Here is a 27,568-nt window from a genome sequence, read left to right as displayed (position 1 = left end):
TGACTCACCCAGAGCAACTTCCAGTCCTGCGAGCTCCATTCATGGTAAGTGCCCTTTATAGGTGTCCAATTTTTATTATTTATACCATATTTTTACAGTACCTTTTCTGCATTTAGATACACAAAGCTTACCATTATGTTACAGTTGCTTACAATAATCAGTACAGTAGAATGCTGTACAAGTTTTTAATCTAGAAGCAATAGGCTATACCATACAGCCTAGGTATGTAATAGGTTACACCATCTAGGTTTGTCCAGATACATTTTCTGTGATGTTCACACCATGACAAAATCACCTAATGATGCATTTCTTAGAAGGTATCTCGTCGTGAAGTGACACATGACTGTAGATGGATTTATGATATACTTAAGAGGTAGAATTGGCAGAACTTGGATCTTTGTTGAAACTGGTTCTTTTCAGTGCAGCCCTTTTTCATCTTTGCCATCTTGATAGCTAAAGAATGGCATCTTGCTGTTGTTTTAATATGTCTTTCATTTTTTTGTAACTAGTGAGATTGAACTTTTTTCCTCCACATTTGTTGATGGGATTTTTTGTTTGCTTTTTTTTTTTGGCATATGTATGTGATTGACCTATTTGTAATTTTTATTTTTATTTTACTTTTTCAGACAGAGTCTCACTCTGTCACCCAGAATAGAGTGCAGTGGCACAAACATGGCTCACTGCAGCCTCAACTTCCCAGGCTCAAGGGATCCTCCTGCCTCAGCCTACCAAGTAGCTGGGACCATAAGCATGTGCCATCACACTGGGCCAATTTTTAAATTTTTTGTAGAGACAGGGTCTTGCCATGTTGCCCAGGCTGGTCTTGAACTCGTAGGCTCAAACAATACTCCTGCTTTGGCCACCCAAAGTGTTGAGATTACAGATGTGAGCCACTGCACCTGACCTGTAATCTTTGTGTAAAGTCTTTTTCTTATCAGATTTTTAAGAAAATATCTGCTCTTCATATTTACAGTGTATGATGGATTTTTTAAATATTCTGTCCCCTGTTGTCATTTATCTTTTAGGCTTGTTTATGGAGTATTTTGTCTACAGGTTTTTAATCATAATTTATTGAAAGCTATGGTTCATATGTTTGATGTTATATATACGTTAATGTTGGAGACTTCATAAATGCTTGTGAACTTGTGAACACTTTTATGTATAACTTATTTTGAACCTTGGTTCTTTAAGTGTAACATTCCACAGTAATATATAATCAAGGCTTTCTAAGAGTAAAGTATTTATTTGACCTAATGCAAAATAGCCTTGGCCGTGTTTGTTCAAATCTTTTATCTATTTTACAAATTGTTTTATAATGCCTTTGGTTAACTAATTTGAAAACTTACATAATTTATATAATTTCTTTACAGTTCAGTGGTCATTGATTAATTGCAAGGCTCTAGTTTTGTTATGTTGAATTATAGTTATGGAAGTGAGAGAAGAAAGCTCATTAAAATTTAGTATTGGCTGGGTGCAGTGGCTCACGCCTGTAATCCCAACACTTTGGGAGGCCAAGGAGGGCAGATCACCTGAGGTCAGGAGTTCAAGACCAGCCTGGCCAGCATGGTGAAACCCTGTCTCTACAAAAATACAAAAATTAGCTGGGCATGATGGCAGGTGCCAGTAATCCCAGCTACTCGGGAGGCTGAGTCAGGAGAATTGATTGAACCCGAGAGGCAGGGGTTGCAGTAAGCCAAGATCGCACCATTGCACTCCAGCCTGGGTGACAGATCGAGACTCCGGCTCAAAAAGTAAAAAATAAAAAATAAAAAAATTAGTATAAAGCAAGAATAAATATTTGTAGTGATGGTTTTGAGATTAGTCCTTCTAGAAAACAACATGCTGTTTAATTTTTAAGCTTTTGTATTTCTTTGAAGTGTCCTAGATATGGTCTTGTATGACTGCAAGATAGCTTAGATATGCAGTATGTTTGCATGAAAAACTATGGAAACAACTAATTGTAGAGTCACTAAATGCACATTAAAATCACATGGATATAGAGGAGAGCACATCAGTTGATGGCTCAGAAAACAGGGGTTCTAGTTCTTGCAATTCCATTACATAGTTTTGTCACTTGGTCCCAGGACATCTATTGGAAGCTATCTCTAAGATGCTGTATAACTTGAGAAGGGCACTGGGATGAGTGTGTAATTTCACAGACTTTGCGTTGCCCCCTGGTGGTATTTTACCTTAGTCCAAAACTAGAGCTGTGGTCACTTTACAACCTGATCCTGTGATCCAGTGGTGACCTACTTCATGGATAAGGATTATCCTCTAGGGAGCCAAACTTTGGTGCTTTTAACCAGCAGTTAGTTAATAGAGAAGCTCAGTGAAAGTGGGACCTGGAAGTTTGGGAAATTAGCACATCTTAGTTAGAAGCAAGAAGTCACAGTCAGCGGTGAGTGGAAAGGATGTAATGAATTGATTGATGGATATTTGTTTTCAAAGAATTAACGTAATTGCTGTCAGGAAAAGAAAACCTTAATGCATTAAGGGTAGGGACTGGTGTGGAGATCTAGGTAGAGATCTACATGTGCTTTTCTTAAAATCTTTTGATTCTTTTTTTACCTCCAGGAGACCAGCAGAAGGAGACAGGGAGAACCATATATGGGAGCAAAGAACATGGTGGGCACGCAAGTGGTGCTGTCATGGCGAGGAATGCTCAAAGGATATACATTTAAGCGCCATGAATTTAGAATTTATCCCTTTGCATGTTCTCTAGTCTGAAAATAGTTTGATCTTTTGTAGCTATCTAAATAAGTATTAGAAATTTATTTTGGGAGGTAGACTTGAACTTGATTTCTCCTATCTGGGCCTGTGAGTTGTTGCTAATTTTGAAACTTGATGTTAGTCCCTAGGGTTGTGTTCCTTAAATTAGGCTTTTTACCTCAGTCACTCCAATTTATTTTTATAAGCATACTTTGGTAGACTTTTTCTCAGTGAAATGGAAAACCATTGGTTACCCAGCTAATGAGAATTTATAATCCTCAGTGGACTGCAAAACTTAACTTCATTCTGACTGGCATGAGATGGTATCTCATTATGGTTTTGGTTTGCATTTCTCCAATGATCAGTGATGTTGAGCTTTTTTTCATATGTTTATTGGCTGCATAGATATCTTCTTTTGAGAAGTGTCTGTTCATATCCTTTGCCCACTTTTTTAAAAATTATACTTCAAGATCTGGGTTACATGTGCAGAACGTGCAGTTTTGTTACATAGGTATGTATACACATGTCATGGTGGTTTGCTGCACCCATCAACCCATCACCTACATTAGATATTTCTCCTAATGTTATCCCTCCCCTAGCCCCCCACCCTCCAACAGGCTCCGGTGTGTGATGTTCCCCTCCCTGTGTCCATGTGTTCTCATTGTTCAACTCTCACTTATGAGTGAGAACACATGGTGTTTAGTTTTCTGATCTTCTGATAGTTTGCTGAGAATGATCGTTTCCAGCTTTATCCATGTCCCTGCAAAGGACATGAACTCATCCTTTTTTATGGCTGCATAGTTTGCCATGGTGTATATGTGCCACATTTTCTTAATGTAGTCTATCATTGTTGGACATTTGGGTTGGTTCCAAGTCTTTGCTATTGTGAATAGTGCCACAATAAACATACGTGTGCATGTGTCTTTATCGTAGAATGATTTATAATCCTTTGGGTATATGCCCAGTAATGGGATTGCTGGGTCAAATGGCATTTCTAGTTCTAGATCCTTGAGGAATCACCACACTGTGTTCCACAATGGTTGAACTAATTTACACTTCCACCAACAGTGTAAAAGCGTTTATATTTTTCCACAACCTCTCCAGCATCTATTGTTTTCTGACTTTTTAATGATCGCCACTCTAACTGCTTTGCCCACTTTTTGATGGGATTTTTTTTTCTTATAAATTTGTTTAAGTTCCTTGTAGATTCTGGATATTAGACCTTTGTCAGATGGGTAGATTGCAAAAATTTTCTCCCATTCTGTAGGTTGCCTGTTCACTCTGATGATAGTTTCTTTTGCTGTGGAGAAACTCTTTAGTTTAATCAGATCCCATTCATCAATTTTGGCTTTTATTGCAGTTGCTTTTCACCATTTGACCCAACATATTACTTACACCTTTTGACCCAACATATTACTTACACCATTTGACCCAGCATATTTTACCATTTGACCCAGTATATTACTGGGTATATACCCAAAGGAATATAAATCATTCTAGTATAAAGACACATGCACACATGTTTATTGCAGTACCATTTACAATAGCAAAGACATGGAACCAACCCAAATGCCCATCAATGATAGACTGGATAAAGAAAATGTAGTACATATATACCATGGAATACTATGCAGCCATAATAAGGAATTAGATCATGTCTTTGCAGGGACGTGGATGAAGCTGGAAGTAATCGTCCTCAGCAAACTAACACAGGAACAGAAAACCAAATACCTCATCTTCTCACTCATAAGTGGGAGTCGAACAAGGAGAACACATGGACACAGGGAGGGGAACAACACACAGCGGGGCCTGTCGGGGGTATGGGGGCAAGAGGAGAGAGAGCATTAGGACAAATAACAAATGCATGTGGTACTTAAAACCTAGATGATGGGTTAATAGGTACCGCAGACCACCATGGCACATGTATACTTACGTAACAAACCTGCATGCTCTGCACGTGTATCTTGTAACTTAAAGTAAAATAAAATTTTAAAAAAAACTTCAGTATAGTTAGTTTTTAGAATATGTTATATTAATCAAGAAATTGTGTTCTTTTCTTTCAGCCTATCAATTTGTTACCAACACTAGAAAGTCTCCAACTTAAAAACCAAAAACATACTTTAAATTAGTTGCTTTTTTTTTTTTTTTTTTTTTTTGGTGAGATGGAGTCTCACTCCGTCGCCCAGGCTGGAGTGCAGTAGCACGACCTCGGCTCACTGCAATCTCCACCTCCCGGGTTCAAGAGATTCTCAACGTCCTGAGTAGCTGGGACTACATGCTCCACCATGCCTGGCTAATTTTTGTATTTTTAGTAGAAATGGGGTTTCGCCATGTTGGCCAGGCTGGTCTTGAGCTCCTGACCTCAGGTGATCTGCCTGCCTTGGCCTCCTAAAGTGCTGGGATTACAGGTGTGAGCCACCATGCTCAGCCTAGTTGCTTTTGATTATCTTTGTTAGGCGTGGTGACTGGGTGCCCCAGTCAGCCTTCCAAAGTCCTCAGGTTATTTATAGTGGCCATGCTTCTGAGTAAAAATCGTCAGCACATATCTGATCAAGAATTTGTAACTACTACTGGGTAGCAGAAACATGCTAAGAGAGAAGTCATTTAGAAACTGAAATATTGCATCCTCTAGGACATTTTGATGGTGTATGAGAGAAGGGAAAAATATGTTTGAAATCTGAATTGCCTTAGAAAAGCTGGAGGGAACGATTATTTTACATAACATGTATGTAAAGTTTATGGTGTTATTGTTCTCATCACTTCTTTAGTGTTAAGGAGGCACTATTGCCCATTACAAGGTTGTGATTGGAAGTACAATCAAAACTCTACTTTTGGATATCAGGAACATTGTCCTTGTGCTTTAGGTCCTCAGTAGCTCTTCTGGTTAGGGACAAAAGTCCTAATAAGGAAGGTCAAGGATGGAGACTAGCCCTTCTGGTTGGGGTGAGATGGAGGGAAGTACAACCAGAAAGTGAAAAGCAGGATGGGGCTGGAGCATTCTTCAAGATCTTCTTATCCTTTTTAAAAAAATTAATTAGTGTGGAATGGTAATAACAGAAAGTGTACTTTCAGCCATTGTTTTTGGACATTTGATGAACTTTCAGTCTGCCAACTCATGTCTCCTTTAGTTCTGATAATTTTTTTAAATTTTCTCTTTTTAGATTTAAAATATTTCTAAATCTTTGTTTGTTTTTTTCTTGGATTTTCTTGAACTCCTGCTATTCAGATCTTGGGCTTCTAGATTGCTTTTTTATTATTCTCTTCTCTCAATTTTCCATCTTTCATTTTGTTTCACATCTGAAATTTTTTTTCAACTTTTTCTATTGTTCCTATTGAATTGTTCATATTGACTAGGAATTTACAGGAGCTCTCTTTTTAAAATTCTCTCTCCTTTTTGTGGTACCATCTTGTTCTTTTTTGATACCTTATGTCTTTGAAAATGTTAGTAATAGTTTTTCATAGTCTGTTTTCCAAGTTCTTTTAGTTTGTTTGTTTTTTATCTTCATCTCTGGCTTTTATATTTATTAGAGAGTTTCTTCAGATACCTGGTGATTTTTTTTCATATTTTAAAGTAGGCACAAATAAAACTGTTTGGAAACTCTTTGCATGAGGTGAGCTTGTTTATATGGTTTCAGTGTAAGATGATCAGTATCCTTAAGTCTTTTTTCTTAAAATCTTGGGTATTTCTAGAAAAAAATTCATCTGATCATTAACCTGCAAGTTATTCTGGGTGCCTAAGAAGGTAAAAGGCAAGGGCAGATCCTACTTAATCTTTTTGCAACTTTCACTTTGTCCCTTGTTTTTAGTCAGATACCACTGCTTTCAACTGTGTTTAATGTCCACTACTCTAGAAACTCTCCATGTCTCTTTTCCAGAGGATAAACTTCAGTATTCTATGGTGTGGGGAAGAGGCAGTTGCTCAGCTGTACAAAGTGAGAATCTAGAGAAACTTATTAAGTGGTCTTTTAACTCCACTTTCACACCATTTCCAAGGTACTTGATGCCACCAATTCCTCATACTTTTAAGGCTAGAGGAAATATTTAGTGTTATGTAAATCAGAATGCTTCTTTCCCCTTTGCTGGCTTAGGGCTCCTTGTTTTGGGCCTGCCAGATCCGTCACCACTGATTCATGTGCTTCCCAACTTCCGAAATCGTGTCCCTGTTTTCTCCTCTTCTGTTCTCTTCTCTTCTGTTCTCTTCGACTGTTTTGATTTCTTGTCCCTTTTTTTAAAAAAGAAAATCTTTTTACTACCATTTCAGAGGAGTTTTTGGAGACAGTGAGATAGAATGTATATGTCCAGTGAAATACCTTTTTGGAAATCTGATTCATCTTTCAATTAACTGGATTCAGTTTTTTATTTCCCTTTTCACCCCCCAAAAAAGATGTGGGTGCTAGATTGTTGAGATCCTTGGGGCTTGACAAAATTTGTCAGTTGTCTTTATATTTATATACTTTATTTTTTTGCTGATTTCACTTCCTCTTTTGATCTGCTTTTAACATGTTGCTCTCTCTTCTTTCCTCCTGAAGTATCAGTGGGTCACAGGCCAGAGGAGAGAACCTAGGGTTTCTCCGTACCTTCTTTAAACACATCTATCTTTAAGAAAAAAATCATGTCTTGTTTTTACATTGTGGTTTCAATTCTTTATTTCATAGCCTCTTCAAACCTGTTTTATATGATCAAATTCATGGTTTGGTAAACTTCCTGTTTGTCACACCTGGCAAATCTCCCTCATGGTGGATCATTTCCTTGTGTGATTCATAATTTTCAATTATTTGCTCATCCTCAGCAAAGATTACTTTTTCCATGGGAGTCCTATGAACCATTGCTTTTTGAAGCGCCTTTAAGGAGCTATTTATATTTATTTTTCTTTTATATTTACCTTAATTTCTTGGCTTGGAAATTTCACACTACGCAGATAGTATAAATCTGGACTCTGTATCATTGTGTGTCAGTTTCATGGATCCAGTTTTTCTGGTCTTAGAGAGATTCTTGCTTTATTCAAGGTCTAAGTTTCAGTCCTCTGCCCTGGCTGGGATCTTAAGTCCCCAACCCCTAGCAGCTAGAGTCCAAGTCTGATATCCCTGTGGGATATAAGTGTTAACTTGTATCTTTTCTACTCTGAATTTGAGATTTTTCTTCTTTTGACACATGAGAAATTCTTTTTCTTTATTTTGAAACTGATTATGGTATTAAAATGTCAGCAGTTATATTTTATGTAGATTTTTATGTGCTTGATATATAAAGGAGATACGCATCACTGGGTCCATGTTCTGGAACCATAAGTCATCTCCTTTGCATTCTCATTTAATTAGGTATTCAGGAAACATCTATTAAGTGTGTACTATGCATTAGGCTCTAGAGATTCCAAAGCAAATGAAAGGACAAAGGAAGGTATAAGGTAGGAAGAATATTCCAGGCAGAAGGAACAACTTGCAAGGTATGAAATGACTGGTTTGTGTGGGAATCTACTGGAACACTTGAGTATGGATATGATACAGGCCCAGAGCTTGTAGGGCAAGGCTGAAAAATACAGGTAAATAAATAGGCCGTGTCATGGAAGGCCTTGGAGCTAAGTCAAGGCATCTGAACATCATCTTGAGAGCTGTGGGGAGCTTAAGCCTCAAGTGAAGAGATCAGATTATGAACTAGATCTCATGGTAGTGTGGCAGAGGGTTGCAGTTGAGCCAGGCTGGAGGCAGAAACTAAAGCAGAAGCAAATGGGAATAGGGAAAAGGGAACAGTTTGAGAGAGCCTTCAAGATAGGATCTCCAGGAATTCATGATTAGATATAATGAATGAGAGAGCAAGTGAAGTTGCAAGGGGCAATCCCGTGGGCCAGATTCAGCTTGCATGTTTTTTGTTTATTTTTGCCCCTTAAAAAATTGAACTTTAACTGCACTAGGTATGGCTTGCCCTATCCTGTTTGCCACAGTCCTGACGACTGCATATTCTCTGTGATCCAGGTTGATTTAATGTGCCTGGGTTCTGACGGGTATGTGAACTTGAGAGCCTGATGGAATGACTTCCTCGGGCAGCCTTTTTAGTTTATGCTTGCTTAATCCTGGGGGTATGAGGAGAGACAGGGATGAGGAGGGATCAAGGAGTGGTGGGGCAGGGTGACCTCGTTCGTCTGTTCTGACACTGGCTCTGCCACCTCCCCAACCTGCAGTTGCCACTCCTACCCCCATCGCCAGCTCTTGACTGATCACTGTTGGATTTTCTGTAGGAAAGGGAGGAAAAGAAGGATCAGAACTTTTTCTCCCATAGATGCTTTCAAAATCCCCTGCTGCTATGCCCCTACTAAATTCCATGTCAGTTTTCTGATCTTTCTTACTCCCCAGAAGAATGCAGGATTACTTTTACTTTATAGGTGAGTAGATAGAGGTAGTTTTAGTAAGCTGGGCACTGTGGGTATGCTTTAGAATATGGCATCAAAGATTCTTAAAAAGCAGAGGATAGTAAAGCACGGCCTCACCCTTTTCCTAAGCCATCTGGCTTTTTACAGTTTTAACTTACTTTTATGATGGATTCCAGGGCACATGCAATATTTTTATTCTAGCTAAATGAGGAGCAAATTAGAAGAATTTTAGCTCTCATTTTGAAAAAGATAGGAAGAAGGGAAAGGAAGTGAGTGTTGTGTGATAGAAATAGCCTGTGTTAGACTTTCCCAGGCTTCTCAGGGCAGATGAGATCAGTACTGTGTGCATCAGCTCATGTGAGAGCTAATGGAATTTGGAAACATTGATTAGGTCCTCCATTCTTGAGTACTGCTGGAGTGAATCCGTGTCCAAGTTCTACAGATTAACTAGGCAAATATTAAAATAGTCCTGCTGGTTCGGACTCAGAGGGGCAGTTAGTCAGTTGAGTGGGAGTAGATCATCTCCCGAGTTTTTGGTAATTAGTACTAAGAATGAAATCCCATGGGAAAAACAATAGTGATTAGTTATCAGTAGAGCTATTATATTAGTTTTTATTGTAATGACAACCTGCAGAGTTTTTTTTTAAAGGCTTTGCTGTTTTGCAGCAGCCTGGATGGATGGATATTGAAGGAAATCTAGATAATAGAACAATTGTAAAGCTAATAGCTTATTGTTTTCCCTCTGGAATGATGGGAAATATCTGAGACTGGAGTTGCTTTATGCACTTGGATTCAGATTTCAGCTTCATCTTTTTTGGTGGTTTGGCTTGTACGCCTGGACCATTATGTCTTGGGAATATGAAGAATTTGGGAACATAATTATACACAGAAAGCCAAGATTCCTATTATTTAGAGAAATCTGCAAGCTCATTTTATATTTTTTAAGAAAGCTAATGAAGGAAACACGTATTTTTAAATTTACAAAGCAGACTACATGTTCAAAAACATAGAGTATGTTTGGGGGAAAAAATCCTTTCCCCTTCTAAATGCAAGTAATATATGTTTATCAGAGAAATTAGAAAATACTGAAAAAAAAGTAAAGCAGAAATTTATTTCATAATTCTATTACCCAGAGGTAAGGGTTAAGAAGTTAACCCTTTTTTCCCTGTGGATATTTGTAATATGTGTTTACAAAAGTAATACATTTTGTTTGTAACCTGTTTATGTGACAAAGCTATAAATATGTATTACTATAGATATGGAAATACAGTACAGTCTGTGGCAGAGGCTTGGTATTCTGTTGTACAATATATTTAATCAATTTCTACTCTAGAGCTTTTAGATTCTTTTTCTAGTTTTTTTTTTTTTGCCATAATGAATGATTGTTTAGATTTCTTGATCACTAAATATTTACATATATTCTGTCACAAAATGACTCAATTGGAGGCTTGGGGAAGGGGAGGCAGAATTAGCTGATGTTGCTGGTGCCAGGACTCTCCATGAAATGTATAAAACAGTATTATATTTCATATCCTCAGTGAACAACTATAAACATGTCCATGGTATACAGTGGACATGGCTGATTTATTGTCATTGTGTCATATCTGTTTTGTCTCCCCAAATTCTCTCTTTTCTTCTACAACACTGAGGCTACTACGATGGAATGGGTCATTTTGGGAGAGGTGGGGAAAAGGGGGGAAACTATCAATTGCATAAGTTATAGGGCAGCTACTGAGAGAAATATATTTCAGATGTTGTGAAATCTAAGTATTAAACATTATTGAATAAACACAGTGTGGAGGAGACCAAAAGATGTCATTAAGTAAGGCTCTTCTAACAGCCTAAAGTCTACCAGCCAAAGTGGACAAAAAGGCAAAATACATACACTCCAGCAAGCCCTTCTTCTTGTATCTTAGCAAAGTAGGTCAGCACACACTTACTTAGTTCAAGGGGCCATTTCATAGGGGATGATTTTATTTGCTAACCAGAGTTGGACTGTGGAATTCTGAGCACAGCATGTAATAGCAATTTAAAATAAGGGACAATTTAAAGGTTAAGGCATCAAAAGTAATCTTCTAAAATTTTCTCAACAGTAGACTGAAATAAATGTGTAGGTCCTTCAGCTGAAACTATGTGGCTGTTACTTTAACCATTTTTGTTCTTCAAATCTATACCATTTTATGAACTCTTCTATTTAACTCTTCAAATGCTAAATAACAAATCTATACCTTATTAGATTTGTTTGGAGTAAAGCTATCCAAATTGAATTAGAGAATAATTGAACACCTATCTCATGAGTATTTCAGTGGGCTACATTGCCTTAAAAGATCTGTTAGGTTATTATTTACTTTTTTTGAGACAAAGTCTTGCTCTGTTGCTCAGGCTGGAGGCTGGAGTGCAGTGACAGGATCTCGGCTTACTGCAGCCTCTGCCTCCCAGGTTCTAGCAATTCTCATGCCTCAGCTTCCTGAGTATCTGGGATTGCAGGCATGAGCTACCACGCCCAGTTAAGTTTTGTATTTTTAGTAGACACAGGTTTTGCCCAGGCTGGTCTCAAACTCCTGGCCTTAAGTTATCCACCTGCCTCAGCCTCCCAAAATGTGTGAGCCACTGTACCTGTTCTGGTTATTATTTTATGGAAAGTTCCACAAGATGTAAAAACTTTTATCTGAACTTGAAGCTTTTACAAAGAGGCACTTGGTCTGTTTCATAATAAAATAATATCAATTCTTGATTTGTATTGCCCTTTAACAAGGTACCCCACAGGTAGTTTTGTGTTATAAAGTTTGAGCTAAATGCTACATGTCCGCAAGATTTTGATCTTCCTTTAAGTCAACTGTAAGCTTTCAGAGTAAAGTCATGTATATACTCCATGTTACTTTTGCTTTTGTTTTTATTATTAAATGTATTTATTTTTTGTTACATTTAAAAAAAATAGAGATGTTGTCTCACTGTGTTGCCTAGACTGGTCATGAACTCCTGGCCTCAAGAGATTCTCCCACCTTGGCCTCCCAAAGTTTTGCGATTACAGGCATGAACCACCATGTCCAGGTGCTTTTGTTTTTAGAGGTTTGATACGTGAAGCCAAAAGTTTGGTTCACTATAAGTCTAAGAGACTACGCATGTAGGACTTTCATCATTCTTTTGTCATTATCAGCATTTAGAAACATCTAGAATCCTGTAGTTTCTCAGTACTTTCTTCACTGATACGCCAGCTTGTTTGTTCAATCTTGAGTCCTTCATGCCTTAAAAAATCATAAAAATTAAATTATTAATTTCATGGCATTCATTTTAAAAGTCCATCGAATCGTCAAGGAAAGAATAAATTATATTCAGTATAATAATTTCTTACATTTTATGTATTATGTTTTCCAAAGCACTGTCAGGTACATGCAAATTCCCTTAACTAATAGAATAAGTGGATGGAATAAATTATTCCATACTAGGAAACTGAGACACTGGGGTTGGAGTACAGGTTAGTGCTAGAACAAGTGTTAGAATTCAGATTTTCTGAGCAATTGCCCCAGGTCTCGTTGCATTGCAGTATTTTGTGGTATTCTGATTCTTGAAAACTTATGTTCAGTGTGAAATTTGCATGGTAAATTGTTAACCCTGTCTTGTTTCTAGCGAGTGCCAGATGACAAGGTAGTATAATAGATTATTTGTGAATAAGGATAAAAAAAATTTATAAATGATTTATTTACTAATTTTGGTTAGTAATTTTTTTTTTCATTACCAGAATAATTGCTTTTACTTTTCTGTTTAAAGACCTGCTTGGCTTTGATAATTAACTGTACATCGTTTTTACCATGTCATGGCATATTGTCTGATGGTTTTTATAATATTAAAGGCTAAAATTGGAGCCAAATTGAATTTAGCACATTTCTTTTTTACTAAATTGAGGCTAAATATAAAATCCCGGTAAGCTTAGAATCTATAATGAACACGTGCTGTTTTTCTCTGCTTTTTTTTTTTTATTATACTTTAAGTTTTAGGGTACAGGTATACAATGTGCAGGTTTGTTACATATGTATACATGTGCCATGTTGGTGTGCTGCATGCTGCACCCATTAACTCGTCATTTAGCATTAGGTATATCTCCTAATGCTATCCCTCCCCACTCCCCCCACCCCACAATAGGCCCCGGTGTGTGGTGTTCCCCTTCCTGTGTCCATGTGATCTCATTGTTCAATTCCCACCTATGAGTGAGAACATGTGGTGTTTGGTTTTTTGTCCTTGTGACAGTTTGCTGAGAATGATGGTTCCAGCTTCATCCATGTCCCTACAAAGGACATGAACTCATCATTTTTTATTTTTTTATTTTTTATTTTTTTATTTTTTTAAGAGTTCCAGGCATTAGATTTATTGTTTTAAAATCTATATTCATTATATATGTGGGTGTATGGTTTTGATTTTTTATAATTTTTAAAACAGCTTTATTGAGATGTAATTAACATACAATAAATTTTTTTTTAATTTTTTTAGTATTTATTGATCATTCTTGGGTGTTTCTCGGAGAGGGGGATTTGGCAGGGTCATAGGACAATAGTGGAGGGAAGGTCAGCAGATAAACATGTGAACAAAGGTCTCTGGTTTTCCTAGGCAGAGGGCCCTGCCGCCTTCCGCCTTCCGCAGTGTTTGTGTCCCTGGGTACTTGAGATTAGGGAGTGGTGATGACTCTTAAGGAGTATGCTGCCTTCAAGCATCTGTTTAACAAAGCACATCTTGCACCGCCCTTAATCCATTTAACCCTTAGTGGACACAGCACATGTTTCAGAGAGCACAGGGTTGGGGGTAAGGTTTATAGATTAACAGCATCCCAAGGCAGAAGAATTTTTCTTAGTAGAGAACAAAATGGAGTCTCCTATGTCTACTTCTTTCTACACAGACAGAGTAACAATCTGATCTCTTTCTTTTCCCCACATTTCCCCCTTTTCTATTCGACAAAACTGCATCGTCATCATGGCCCGTTCTCAATGAGCTGTTGGGTACACCTCCCAGACGGGGTGGCTGCCGGGCGGAGGGGCTCCTCACTTCCCAGACGGGGCAGCTGCCGAGCGGAGGGGCTCCTCACTTCTCAGACGGGGCGGCCGGTCAGAGATGCTCCTTACCTCCCAGACAGGGTGGCGGCGGGGCAAAGACACTCCTCAGTTCCCAGACGGGGTCGCGGCTGGGCAGAGGCGCTCTTCACATCTCAGACAGGGCGGCGGGGCAGAGGCGCTCCCCACATCCTAGACGGGATGACGGCTGGGAAGAGGCGCTACTCACTTCCCAGACTGGGCAGCCGGGCAGAGGGGCTCCTCACATCCCAGACGATGGGCGGCCAGGCAGAGGCGCTCCTCACTTCCTAGACGGGGTGGCAGCCGTGCAGAGGCTGCAATCTCTGCACTTTGGGAGGCCAAGGCAGGCGGCTGGGAGGTGGAGGTTGTAGCGAGCCGAGATCACGCCACTGCACTCCAGCCTGGGCAACATTGAGCACTGAGTGAGCGAGACTCCGTCTGCAATCCCGGCACCTTGGGAGGCCAAGGCTGGCAGATCACTCGCAGTCAGGAGCTGGAGACCAGCCCGGCCAACACGGCGAAACCCTGTCTCCACCAAAAACACGAAAACCAGTCAGGCGTGGTGGCGCGCGCCTGCAATCCCAGGCACCGGGCAGGCTGAGGCAGGAGAATCAGGCAGGGAGGTTGCAGTGAGCCGAGATGGCGGCAGTACAGTCCAGCCTCGGCTTGGCATCAGAGGGAGACAGTGCAAAGAGGGAGAGGGAAGAGGGAAGAGGGTCATTTTTTATGGTTGCATAGTATTCCATGGTGTATATGTGCCACGTTTTCTTAATCCAGTCTGTCATTGTTGGACATTTGGGTTGGTTCCAAGTCTTTGCTATTGTGAATAGTGCCACAGTAAACATACATGTGCATGTGTCTTTATAGCAGCATGACTTATAATCCTTTGGGTATATACCCAGTAATGGGGATGGCTGGGTCAAATGATATTTCTAGTTCTAGATCCCTGAGGAATCATCACACTGACTTCCACAATGGTTGAACTAGTTTACAGTCCCACCAACAGTGTAAAAGTGTTCCTATTTCTCCACATCCTCTCCAGCACCTGTTGTTTCCTGACTTTTTAATGATCTCCATTCTAACTGGTGTGAGATGGTATCTCATTGTGGTTTTGATTTGCATTTCTCTGATGGTCAGTGATGATGAGCACTTTTTCATGTGTCTTTTGGCTGCATAAATGTCTTCTTTTGAGAAGTGTCTGTTCATATCCTTCGCTCACTTTTTGATGGGGTTGTTTGTTTTTTTCTTGTAAATGTCTTTCAGTTTATTGTAGATTCTGGATATTAGCCCTTTGTCAGATGAGTAGATTGCAAAACTTTTCTCCCATTCTGTAGGTTGCCTGTTCATTCTGATGGTAGTTTCTTTTGCTGTGCAGAAGCTCTTTAGTTTAATTAGATCCTATTTGTCAATTTTGGCTTTTGTTACCATTGCTTTTGGTGTTTTAGACATGAAGTTCTTGCCCATGCCTGTGTCCTGAATGGTATTGCCTAGGTTTTCTTCTAGGGTTTTTATGGTTTTAGGTCTAAAATTTAAGTCTTTAATTCATCTTGAATTAATTTTTGTATAAGGTTTAAGGAAGGGATCCAGTTTCAGCTTTCTCCATATGGCTAGTCAGTTTTCCCAGCACCATTTATTAAATAGGGAATCCATTCCCCATTTCTTGTTTTTGTCAGGTTTGTCAAAGATCAGATAGTTGTGGATATGCGGCATTATTTCTGAGGGCTGTGTTCTGTTCCATTGGTCTATATCTCTGTTTTGGTACCAGTACCATGCTGTTTTGGTTACTGTAGCCTTGTAGTATAGTTTGAAGTCAGGTAGTGTGATGCCTCCAGCTTTGTTCTTTTGGCTTAGGATTGACTTCGCAATGCGGGCTCTGTTTTGATTCTATATGAACTTTAAAGTAGTTTTTTCCAATTCTGTGAAGAAAGTCATTGGTAGCTTGATGGGGATGGCATTGAATCTATAAATTACCTTGGGCAGTATGGCCATTTTCACGATGTTGATTCTTCCTACCCATGAGCATGGAATGTTCTTCCATTTGTTTGTATCCTCTTTTATTTCATTGAGCAGTGGTTTTGTAGTTCTCCTTGAAGAGGTCCTTCACATCCCTTGTAAGTTGGATTCCTAGGTATTTTATTCTCTTTGAAGCAATTGTGAATGGGAGTTCACTCATGATTTGGCTCTCTGTTTGTCTGTTATTGGTGTATAAGAATGCTTGTGATTTTTGCACATTGATTTTGTATCCTGAGACTTTGCTGAAGTTGCCTATCAGCTTAAGGAGATTTTGGGCTGAGACGATGGGGTTTTCTAGATATAAAATCATGTCATCTGCAAACAGGGACAATTTGACTTCCTCTTTTCCTAATTGAATACCCTTTATTTCCTTCTCCTGCCTGATTGCCCTGGCCAGAACTTCCAACACTATGTTGAATAGGAGTGGTGAGAGAGGACATCCCTGTCTTGTGCCAGTTTTCAAAGGGAATGCTTCCAGTTTTTGCCCATTCATTATGATATTAGCTGTGGGTTTGTCATAGATAGCTCTTATTATTTTGAGATACATCCCATCAATACCTAATATATTGAGAGTTTTTAGCATGAAGGGTTGTTGAATTTTGTCAAAGGCCTTTTCTGCATCTGTTGAGATAATCATGTGGTTTTTGTCAGTGGTTCTGTTTATATGCTGGATTACGTTTATTGATTTGCGTATGTTGAACCAGCCTTGCATCCCAGGGATGAATCCCACTTGATCATGGTGGAGAAGCTTTTTGATGTGCTGCTGGATTCGGTTTGCCAGTATTTTATTGAGGATTTTTGCATCGATGTTCATCAGGGACATTGGTCTAAAATTCTCTTTTTTTGTTGTGTCTCTGCCAGGCTTTGGTATCAGGATGATGCTGGCCTTATCAAATGAGTTAGGGAGGATTCCCTCTTTTTCTATTGATTGGAATAGTTTCAGAAGGAATGGTACCAGCTCCTCCTTGTACCTCTGGTAGAATTCGGCTGTGAATCCATCTGGTCCTGGACTTTTTTTGGTTGGTAAGCTATTGATTATTGCCTCAATTTCAGAGCCTGTTATTGGTCTGTTCAGAGATTCAACTTCTTCCTGGTTTAGTCTTGGGAGAGTGTATGTGTCGGGGAATTTATTCATTTCTTCTAGATTTTCTAGTTTATTTGCATAGAGGTGTTTATAGTATTCTCTGATGGTAGTTTGTATTTAGAACACCATTATAATTTTAAGAAACTTTTTAGACTACCCTTGATACAAGCTTAGATCTGTGAGACTATTGAATCTATTTCAGTGGGAGAGCCCTAAAAAGCATTTTGGGTCTTGGTCTAGCCCCAAGGTGACTCTTTGCTATGTATGAGATTTTAGACCAATCACAATCTCACTGCATTTTAGTTTACTTATCTCTAAAACTTAGATATGAACGAAGTATTTCTGTGCTACTTCTGTGTCTCAAATTTTGTGTTATTTTGGGATAAAGAATTTATGCATATTTTTACTCTTATATTATTACCAGTTCTGAAAAATGTCTAGTAATTTGGGCTCTATGTTATTTTTTAACATTCTCCCAATAATGGATTCAGCATGGCTTTTCTGGGGATGGTGGCAGTTCTTCTCTGAGCCCAGGCTAACATACAGTCTTCTGGGTCTAGATATGATATTTTGTCTTTCCCTTTTCAAAAACACCACAGTGTGTGAATTCAGGGAAGAGTAACTCTTACCTCACCCTGTATAGCTGGGCTCTGGGGTCTTGGGGGTCCACTTTTTAGCAGTGACCTTTGAAGTACTGAATAGCTGTCCAACAGTTCACTTCCATAGCAATGAGCTTTTCCCTCTTTTGCACAATTTCAGCATCAGTTGCAGGAAAACAGCATGTATACCTTTATTTCAAGTTTCAAAACTTGCTTGGAAAAATAAAAGTTTATTTGCTCTTGAAATTTCGAAGGCTCTCTTTACTCGTGGGTCAGAATGATTGGGCTTTAAATATGTCATTTGTAAGTGGCAGCTTCAGTATATATTTATGAAGTGTCACTGTGGACCGAATTGGGCAATAGATAAGAAGTGTAGGTTGTTACAAGAAGACCAAGATATACTTCCTAGAGTAATTAGTAGCTTTTATTCCTTTTACATGATTGAATCCTCCCAGCAGTAGCAGCCTGTGTGAAGGTAGGTGTATTAGTTCGTTTCCACACTACTAATAAAGACACCCCGAGCCTGGGAAGAAAAAGATATTTAATTGGACTTACAGTTCCACATGGCTAGGGAGGCCTCAGAATCATGGCAGGAGGCAAAAGGCACTTCTTACATGGTGGCGGCAAGAGAAAAATGAGGAGCAAGCAAAAATGGAAACCCCTGATAAACCCATCAGATCTCATGAGACTTATTCACTACCATGACAACAGCATGGAGGAAACTGCCCATGATTTAAATTGTCTCCCACTGGGTCCCTGTCACAATACATGGGAATTATGGGAATTCAATTCAAAATGAGATTTGCGTGGGCACACAGCCAAACCATATCATTCTGCCCCTGTCCCCGCAAAATCTCACATCCTCACATTTCAAAACCAATCATGCCTTCCCAACAATCCCCCAAAGTCTTAACTCATTTCAGCATTAATCCAAAAGTCCACAGTCCAAAGTCTGATCTGAAACAAGACAAGTCCCTTCTGCCTATGAGTCTGTAAAATCAAAAGCAAGCTAGTTACTTCCTAGATGCAGTAGGGGTACAGGTATTGGGTAAATACAGCATTTCCAAATGGGGGAAATTGGCCAAAACAAAGGGGTTACAGACCCATGTAAGTCCAAACTCCAGTGGGGCAGTCAAATATTAAAGCTCCAAAATGATCTCCTTTGACTCCAGGTCTCACATCTTGGTCACACTGATGCAAAAGGTGTGTTCCTATGGTCTTGAGCAGCCCCACCCCTTTGGCTTTGCAGGGTACAGCCTCCCTCCCGGCTGATTTCATGGACTGGCATTGAGTGTGGCTTTTCCAGGTGCATGGTGCACACTGCCAGTAGATCTACCATTCTGGGGTCTGGAGGATGGTGGCCCTCTTTTCACAGCTCCACTAGGCAGTACCCCAGTAGGAACTCTATGTGGGGGCTCTGACCCCACATCTCCCTTCTGCACTGCCCTAGCAGAGGTTCTCCATGAGGGCCGGGCCCCTGCAGCAAACTTTTTCCTGGGCATCCAGGCATTTCCATACATCTTCTGAAATTTAGGCAGAAGTTCCCAAACCTCAATTCTTGACTTCTGTGCACCCGCAGGCTCAACACAATGGGGAAGCTGCCAAGGCTTGGGGCTTCCACCCTCTGAAGCCACAGCCCGGGCTGTATTTTGGCCCCTTTCAGCCACTGCTAGAGTGCCTGGGACACAGGGCACCAAGTCCCTAGTCTGCACACAGCACGGGGACCCTGGACCCGGCCCATGAAACAACGTTTTCCTCCTGGGCCTGTGATGGGAGGGGCTGCTGTGAAGAACTTCTGACATGCCCTGGAGACATTTCCCCCATTGTCCTGGGGATTAACACTAAGCTCCTTACTACTTATGAAAATTTCTGCAGCCAGCTTGAATTTCTCCCAGGAAAATGTGTTTTTCTTTTCTATCACATAGTCAGGCTGCAGATTTTCCCTTATCAAACTGAATGCTTTGCTTCCCTTATCAAACTGAATGCCTTTAACAGCACCCAGGTTACATCTTAAATGCTTTACTGCTTAGAAATTTCTTCCGCCAGGTACCCTAAAACGTCTCTCTCAAGTTCAAAGTTCCACAAATCTCTAGGGCAGGGGCAAAATGCTTCCGGTCTCTTTGCTGAAACATAACAAGAGTACCTTTGCTCCAGTTCCCAACAAGTTCCTCATCTCCATCTGAGTCCACCTCAGCCTGGACCTTATTGTTCATATTGCTATCAGCATTTTGGGAAAAGCCATTCAACAAGTCTCTAGGAAGTTCCAAACTTTCCCACATTTTTCTGTCTTCTTCTGAGCCCTCCAAACTGTTCCAGCCTCTGCTTGTTACCCAGTTCCAAAGTCGCTTCCACATTTTCAGATATCTTTTCAGCAACACCCTACTCTACTGGTACCAATGTACTGTATTAGTTTGTTTTCATGCTGCTGATAAAGACATACCCAAGACTGAGAAGAAAAAGAGGTTTAAATGGACTTACAGCTCCACATGGCTGCAGAGGCCTGAGAATCATGGCAGGAAGTGACAGGCACTTCTTACATGGTGGTGGTAAGAGAAAATGAGAAGGAAGCAAAAGTGGAAACCTCTGATAAACCCATCAGATCTCATGAGGCTTATTCACTACCACAAGAACAGTATAAGGGGACCACCTCCATGATTCAAATTATCTCCTATTGGGTCTCTCCCACAACACATGAGGAGAATGGGAATTATGGGAATACAATTCAGAATGAGATTTGGGTGGGACACAGCCAAGCTATATCAGTAGGTAAGGTAGTTGTTAATCCTATTTCCCAGAGGAAACAGGCTTGGCAAGGCTAAAGGACTTTGTCGAGAAGGGAAGTAGCTGGATAGACTCTCAAACGCAGGCTCCCTGGCTCACTTGGCTAATACTCTTTCTACCATAGCACACACATAAGACCATTAAATTGTATTGTGTACCACAGGTATTCATGGTTTAGGAATTCAGGGAGGAGAAAAGGATTATGAAGTGGAGTAGACAGCTAAGGCTTTGCAGAGAAGGACCTTAAAGACTAAAGGAAGAATCTAAACTTCTTGATGAATACGTAGAGAATTCCAAGTTATGGGGAAGCACAGGGGTTATTTTAAGGAAGGAATAATTTTGTTGTCCCAGTTAGTTAATAGAAGCCATTAATTTGTCTCACTGTCTCAAAGAGGCCCTGATGGGGCTCACCTTTGCAATATTCGAGTTCCTTTGTTAGATATGTGCTTGCCATGCTTGTAATGCCAGATGGATACTTGATGGACCATTATGAAATTGGCTCCTAGCATTTGATTTTTTCCTATTTTAAAGTTGATTGTCTATATACCTGTTTTAGTACCAGTACCATGCTGTTTTGGTTACTGTAGCCTTGTAGTATAGTTTGAAGTCAGGTAGCGTGATGCTTCCAACTTTGTTCTTTTTGCTTAGGATTGTCTTGGCTTTACAGGCTCTTCTTTGGTTCCATATGAAATTTGAAGTAGGTTTCTCTAGTTCTGTGAAGAAAGTCAGTGGTAGCTTGATGGGAATAGCATTGAAGCTATAAATTACTTTGGGCAGTATGGCCATTTTCATGATATTGATTCTTCCTATCCATAAGCATGGGATGTTTTCCCATTTGTTTGTGTCATCTCTTATTTCCTTGAGTAGTGGTTTGTAGTTCTCCTTGAAGAGGTCCTTCACATCCCTTGTCAGTTGGATTCCTAGGTATTTTATTTTCTTTGTAGCAATTGTGAATGGGAGTTCACTCATGATTTGGCTTTCTGCTTGTCTATTATCAGTGTATAGGAATGCTAGTAATTTTTGCACATTGATTTTGTATCCTGAGACTTTGCTGAAGTTGCTTATCAGCCTAAGGACTTTTTGGGCTGAGATGATAGGGTTTTCTAAATATACAATCATGTCATCTACAAACAGAGACAATTTGACTTACTCTCTTCCTATTTGAATGCGCTTTATTTCTTTCTCTTGCCTTATTGCCCTTTTCCTATAGGACTCCAATACTATGTTGAATAGGAGTGGTGAGAGAGGGCATCCTTGTCTTATGCCAGTTTTCAAAGGGAATGCTTCCAGCATTTGTCCTTTCAGTATGATATTGGCTATGGGTTTGTCATAAATAGCAGGGACATGGGTGAAGCTGGAACCCATCATCCTCAGCAAAGTAACACATGAACAGAAAACCAAAAACCACATGTTCTCACTCATAAATGGGAGCTGGACACAGGGAGGAGAACATTACACACTGGGGCCTGTCATAGGGTAGGGGGAAAGGGGAGGGAAAGCGTTAGGACAAATACCTAATGCATGAGGGGCTTAAAACCTAGATGATGGATTGATAGGTGCAGCAAACCACCATGGCACATGTATACCTAAGTAACAAACCTGCGTGTCAGCACATGTATCCCAGAACTTAAAGTAAAATAACAAATAAATAAATATTTCTTAAAAAGTTGATTATCTCTTGAGAGGAGATTATGTGACTCTTCCTCTCATCAGAGAGGACTGAAATAACACTTTGGCCTCTGTCTGGTCCCTGTGGTTCTCAGGGAGTTTCCTATCTTGGCTGGCTTCCTGTGCTGGGCAAGGGGGAAATGAAGAACCTAGGTGAAAAGCCTGTGTTCATCTCCCTTGGGCCTCAACACTCCACTGAGAATATTTCTTTAGAGTTCTCATACCCATTTCAAGATGTTGAGGGTTCCTTTGGCTGTTTTCCTAACTCTGCTGAGAGTGTTTGAAGGGAGGCCTTGGGTCTGAGGCCAAGGAGTTCCCCTTTTCTTCCTGACCTTCTGCCAGAACTCCCATTTGGCATGTGTGTCTTCTTGACACTCTCTGGGCAGTACTGGTGGCAATTGAAATTCTTTACGGTGGTTTTTAAGCAGTCAGAGATGTACTTTGGTTTTACATTTCTCTAGAGAATGCCCATCTTATTCTCCTTGCGCGTCCAAATTGTTTTACAGCCATTTTCATTGTCAATGGTATTTTCAGCAGGTTTGTTTTCCATTAAGCCATCTACACATTACTAGGTCAAAGGAATATTTTTGAAGATATTGAGCAGACATTGATTATCTTCTGAGCCCTGGGCATGTAGATCTATGGGTGCTTAACATTGTAGCTACTTCACATTCACTCGTAGGCTCTTTGGGGAGTCTAGACAGACACTTAGTCACAGGAAGGTGTGACAGGGAAAGTGCACGGTACTATGGATGCTCAGAAGAGGGAACACCCAGTTTGTTTGCAAAGTCTGAAATATCTTTAAAAGCTATTATTGCCACTTGATTGGTTGTTATATGGACTGAAAAACTGAGAGTGGACTCTCAGAGTAAGATTGGGACTCCCAGAGTAAGATGGGATTCTTTCTAAAGTAAGATTTGGGCCAGCCCGAGCAACATAGTGAGACCCCCCACCCCAATCTCTACAGATATTTTAAAAATTAGCCAGATACAGTGGCATGCACCTGTGGTCCCAGCTTCTGGGAGGCTGAGTTGGGAGAATCACTTGCACCCAGGAGATAGAGATTGCAGTGAGCCATGATTGCACCACAGCACTCCAGCCTGGGCAATAGAGTAAGACCCTGTCTCACCCTGACAAGCAAAAGATTTTGGGATTCAGTAGAGATGAGTCCTATAGGAAAAGGGGCAAGGAGTAGGACAGCCTTGATGAAGTCGGCTTGAGAAATCCTGGTAAATAGTTTCTTTATTGGAGGATTTCCTGGAGGTTTTAACATCCTAATGCATACTGCTATCCCCAGGAGAGATTATAGTATGTATTCCTAGGCTTATTTGGCTATATATTTTTTAAAAGCTTGGAAGATTTTATCAGATTATTATTTCACAAAAACATACTCAGGGAAATAGCATTTCAAGCCCTTAAATCTCCAGATCTTTGCAACAGTCATCATTTGAGAAAAAAAATTAGCCCCCTGGTAGGTAGAGTTTTTTTTATAGTGAGATGTAGTGGACAGTGGCTACTGGATATAATAGATAATTTGAGAAAGAAAAACAAAAGGATATGGGTACCCAAAGACCCATCTGAAAATCACTGCTTTTAGAGCTAGGTTATGTTTCATGAACTTTCACATATGATTTCTTAGTTAAATATCGACAACAACCCTGTGAAGGAAATACTTGATTATCATTATCTTCATTTTAGAGGTGAATAAGCTGAAGCTCACATAATGGATTATGTATGGGAGATGCTGAGAGTCAAACTGTGGTCCGTCTTCTGCCAAAGGCCACATTTCATCAGCTATTATTATGCTTTGTTAAGGAGTTTGTTAAGGTCTTTTATTTTTAACTTTTCTTGTTTTTTATTTTGTATGATTGTGATAAAAGTAATATATGCTTATTAAAGAAAAATAGGTGGAGAAAAGTAGAAAATACCTACAGAACCATCATTAAGTATAACTGCAGTTAATATGTGATATATTTCTTTCCAGTTGTTTTATACAATATTATGTAAGTTGAGTATCCCTTATCCAAAATGCTTGGGACCAGAAGCGTTTCGGATTTCAATCTTGGGGATACTTTGGAATATTTCCAGAATGCACTCAGTTGAGCATCCCTGATCCAAAAATCTGAAATGCTCCAATGAGCATATTCTTTGAGTATCATGTCAATTCTCAAAAAGTTTCGGATTTTGGAGCATTTTGGATTTTGAGTTTCAGCATTAGGGATTCTCAACCTGTGTACCATAGTTAGCCATAGTTACAGTTATATGTATTATATATACACATTATACATGTATGTTTCTATTTATGCATAAATTTATAAAATTTTGAATCCTACTTTAAAATCTTCCCTACAGATGTGCATTTGGTTATTTTCACATAGTTAGTAAAATATTTTAATAAGTAAATCCACTGAACTAGAACTCAGAAACTTAACTTGTAACTCTTCTATGCAGACTGCCATTTGGCCATGGGCAAGTTTCTTGACATTTCTAGAACTCACATTCTTCATTTATAAATGAAGGAGTTGGATCAGATCCTTAATTTTTAAACTGTGGGATCTCACAGAACCCGAGAGGGGCTGAGATTAAGAAAGATCAACAGAGCAGTCAGGACCTTGGCCCTTCACATGGGCTTCAACCCAAGCAGCGGCATTTGTAGATCTTTTATCTATTTGGGACCTAAGCACATATGGAAAAGGGGATTCACTGATTTTTTTTTTTTAAAGAATATAAAAATATTAAACCAGTTGATTTTGAAGCTCAGCAATTCTGTGAGTTGCTGTATGTTATGTACATTTTTAAACATTCTTCACGAGGTAGAGTAAGCAAATATATTTTATTCTTTTAAATTATCTCAGGAAGCATGTAAGGACAAAGAGAATACCTGGTCTCTTGACCAGGTTGAAAAGTGTCCAAAGCACTGTCAAGTTGCTTCTTAGAAAATAGACCATTGGAAATTATTATTATTTTTTTTTTTTGAGAAGGAATCTCGCTCTGTCGCCCAGGCTGGAGTACAGTGGCTGATCTCGGCTCACTGCAAGCTCCGCCTCCCGGGTTCACACCATTCTCCTGCCTCAGCCTGGGCAGGAGTAGCTGGGACTACAGGCGCCCGCCACCACACCCGGCTAATTTTTTGTATTTTTAGTAGAGACAGGGTTTCACCGTGTTAGCCAGGATGCTCTCTATCTCCTGACCTCGTGATCCGCCCGCCTCGTTCTCCCAAAGCGCTGGGATTACAGGCGTGAGCCACCACGCCCGGCTGACCGTTGGAAATTCTATAAAATATGTCTCCTTTGACAACATCCATTTTCAGATCCAATTCAATGTGTGTCGCAAAAGACTAATAACCAGGAAATCAGTAGTCCCTGAAACGAATACATGTTTGAAAACTATTAAGTTTACCAATAACTGGTTTTCTACTTTCCTTATGTATATAAGGCTTTGCGTTTTGAGAGGGGTAATTTGGAAGTACAGCATCTTGATATTTTCTCTTGCTTTCACAGAAGGAAGAATCCTGCTCAAAAATGAGGTGAATTAATACTTGGGCGCTCAGGAACCCTGGACAGCTACATGAGGTGTTTAAAAACTGCCCTGACCATCTTGCCAAACAAGTCTCTGCTCATGAGGCCCCACAGGATGAACGAGCCGAGGCAGGACAGTGTCCTGCCCTGTCGGAACAGTGACTGCTGACCTGCCAAGAGAGAGCTGGGGACTGCCTGCTGTCTGCCAGTACAATGAAGGAAGTGGTTTATTGGTCACCCAAGAAGGTGGCAGACTGGCTGCTGGAGAATGCTATGCCAGAATACTGTGAGCCTCTGGAGCATTTCACAGGCCAGGACTTGATCAACCTAACCCAAGAGGATTTCAAAAAACCCCCCTTGTGCCGAGTCTCCTCTGACAATGGGCAGCGGCTCCTGGACATGATAGAAACCCTGAAAATGGAGCACCATTTGGAAGCACACAAGAACGGCCATGCCAATGGGCACCTCAACATTGGCGTAGACATCCCCACCCCCGACGGCAGCTTCAGCATCAAGATTAAACCCAACGGGATGCCAAATGGGTATAGGAAAGAGATGATAAAGATCCCCATGCCAGAACTGGAGCGCTCTCAGTACCCCATGGAGTGGGGCAAGACTTTTCTGGCCTTTCTTTATGCACTTTCCTGTTTCGTTCTCACCACAGTGATGATCTCGGTCGTCCACGAACGAGTACCTCCTAAGGAGGTGCAGCCTCCACTACCGGACACATTTTTTGACCATTTTAACCGGGTGCAGTGGGCCTTTTCTATTTGTGAAATTAATGGCATGATCCTTGTAGGACTCTGGTTAATTCAGTGGCTGCTCTTAAAATACAAGTAAGTCAAGTAAAAGCTCTAAGATTCAATGATTATGGGATTTGCACTCCAAACATCTACTTATTATTTATAAATGAAATTTATCAACTTGTTGGGATCAAAACATACTATTTTTTTTTCTTTTTTAAACACATACCCTGTTGGACTAACTTACTGTCTGGAAGCTTTAAAAGAAAATGTTGTTTGTTGCCTGTTTTATGCAAGATTCATACAGGATGATGAATAAGATGGTTAGAGATGATGCTCTGTTTTCACTTAATAAGAAAGAAAACTCTCAGACATCTTCAGACAGTACAGGCTATTGAACAACAGATCAACCACCTAGTCTTGGTTGGTGTTACTAACCCATTAAATAAATCGACAGTTGGCCTAAGCACTATAAATTGGCTGCATAGCTTTTCCCACACAGAGTCAGACATCTAGAGCCTTAGCAATATGTATTTAAAGATGTTTCACACAGAATTCAGAACACCTGTTCCAGAGTGGCTTGGGTTGTTGGGAAAACAATACCAAAGGGTATGCCTTTGGGTAGGTGGGAAGTGGATGGACCTGAATGGATTCCCACCTTCTACTACTACTACTTAAAACAATATGTGACTGTTGCATTCAAATTTCTCAGAGTTTTAAGTAGGCAACTCCCACTTAGTTCCAGGTGTATCCAAGGTGGCTTTCATATCTGAAGCTCTAAACTCAACATGGACCCCCTCAGACTGGCTGTTTACTGGGGTTGCCTACATTGTCCCTTCACTGATGTTTGATTTTCTCCTTAGTTAAAGGAACGCCTTATGGTTTCCATGAATGAGGGTTGGAAATTGGTTTGTTAAAGAGCTGAGTTTCTCTCCAGTGGAGTGTGTTTCATGATCCACCATGTGGTTAAATATTAAGGAATTCATCTTACAGCAAGAAAACAAAATGCACACTGAGAGTTCATGCTGAATG

The 27,568-nt window shown here is 40.0% G+C and overlaps 1 protein-coding gene across 15 annotated transcripts in view, besides 2 other annotated features; it reads left to right on the top strand.

Moving 5' to 3' along the window:
- SGMS1 (sphingomyelin synthase 1) overlaps positions 1 to 27,568 on the top strand; it is a 319,585-nt gene that overhangs the window by 255,064 nt on the left and 36,953 nt on the right. For 14 of the 15 annotated variants that reach the window (XR_007061953.1, XM_047424974.1, NM_147156.4 and 11 more), the window contains one exon: positions 25,776 to 26,629. Coding sequence is in view for 14 of the 15 variants with exons in the window: in XM_047424974.1 (XP_047280930.1) it covers positions 26,007 to 26,629 (623 nt within the window). In the remaining variant the exon portion in view is untranslated. Of the gene's footprint in view, positions 1 to 8,057; positions 8,150 to 25,775; positions 26,630 to 27,568 lie in introns of those variants that run through there. The other variant, XM_011539583.3, reaches the window with a different exon arrangement.
- Positions 7,160 to 7,229: an enhancer, noted in NCBI's record as "active region_3359". NCBI's record gives its function as "activates an Ori minimal core promoter by ATAC-STARR-seq in GM12878 lymphoblastoid cells {active_cell/tissue: GM12878}" and the evidence as "EXISTENCE:reporter gene assay evidence [ECO:0000049][PMID:35858748]".
- Positions 14,359 to 14,559: a silencer, noted in NCBI's record as "fragment chr10:52115322-52115522 (GRCh37/hg19 assembly coordinates)". NCBI's record gives its function as "represses an EF-1alpha promoter that drives an FKBP-Casp9 reporter gene in an ReSE screen in K562 erythroleukemia cells {active_cell/tissue: K562}" and the evidence as "EXISTENCE:reporter gene assay evidence [ECO:0000049][PMID:32094911]".

This window comes from Homo sapiens, chromosome 10 (genome assembly GCF_000001405.40).
Source record: "Homo sapiens chromosome 10, GRCh38.p14 Primary Assembly".
NCBI classification, from domain to species: Eukaryota; Metazoa; Chordata; class Mammalia; order Primates; family Hominidae; genus Homo; species Homo sapiens.
Note: the sequence above shows the minus strand (reverse complement) of the source record. Positions and strands in the feature narration are given on the sequence as shown.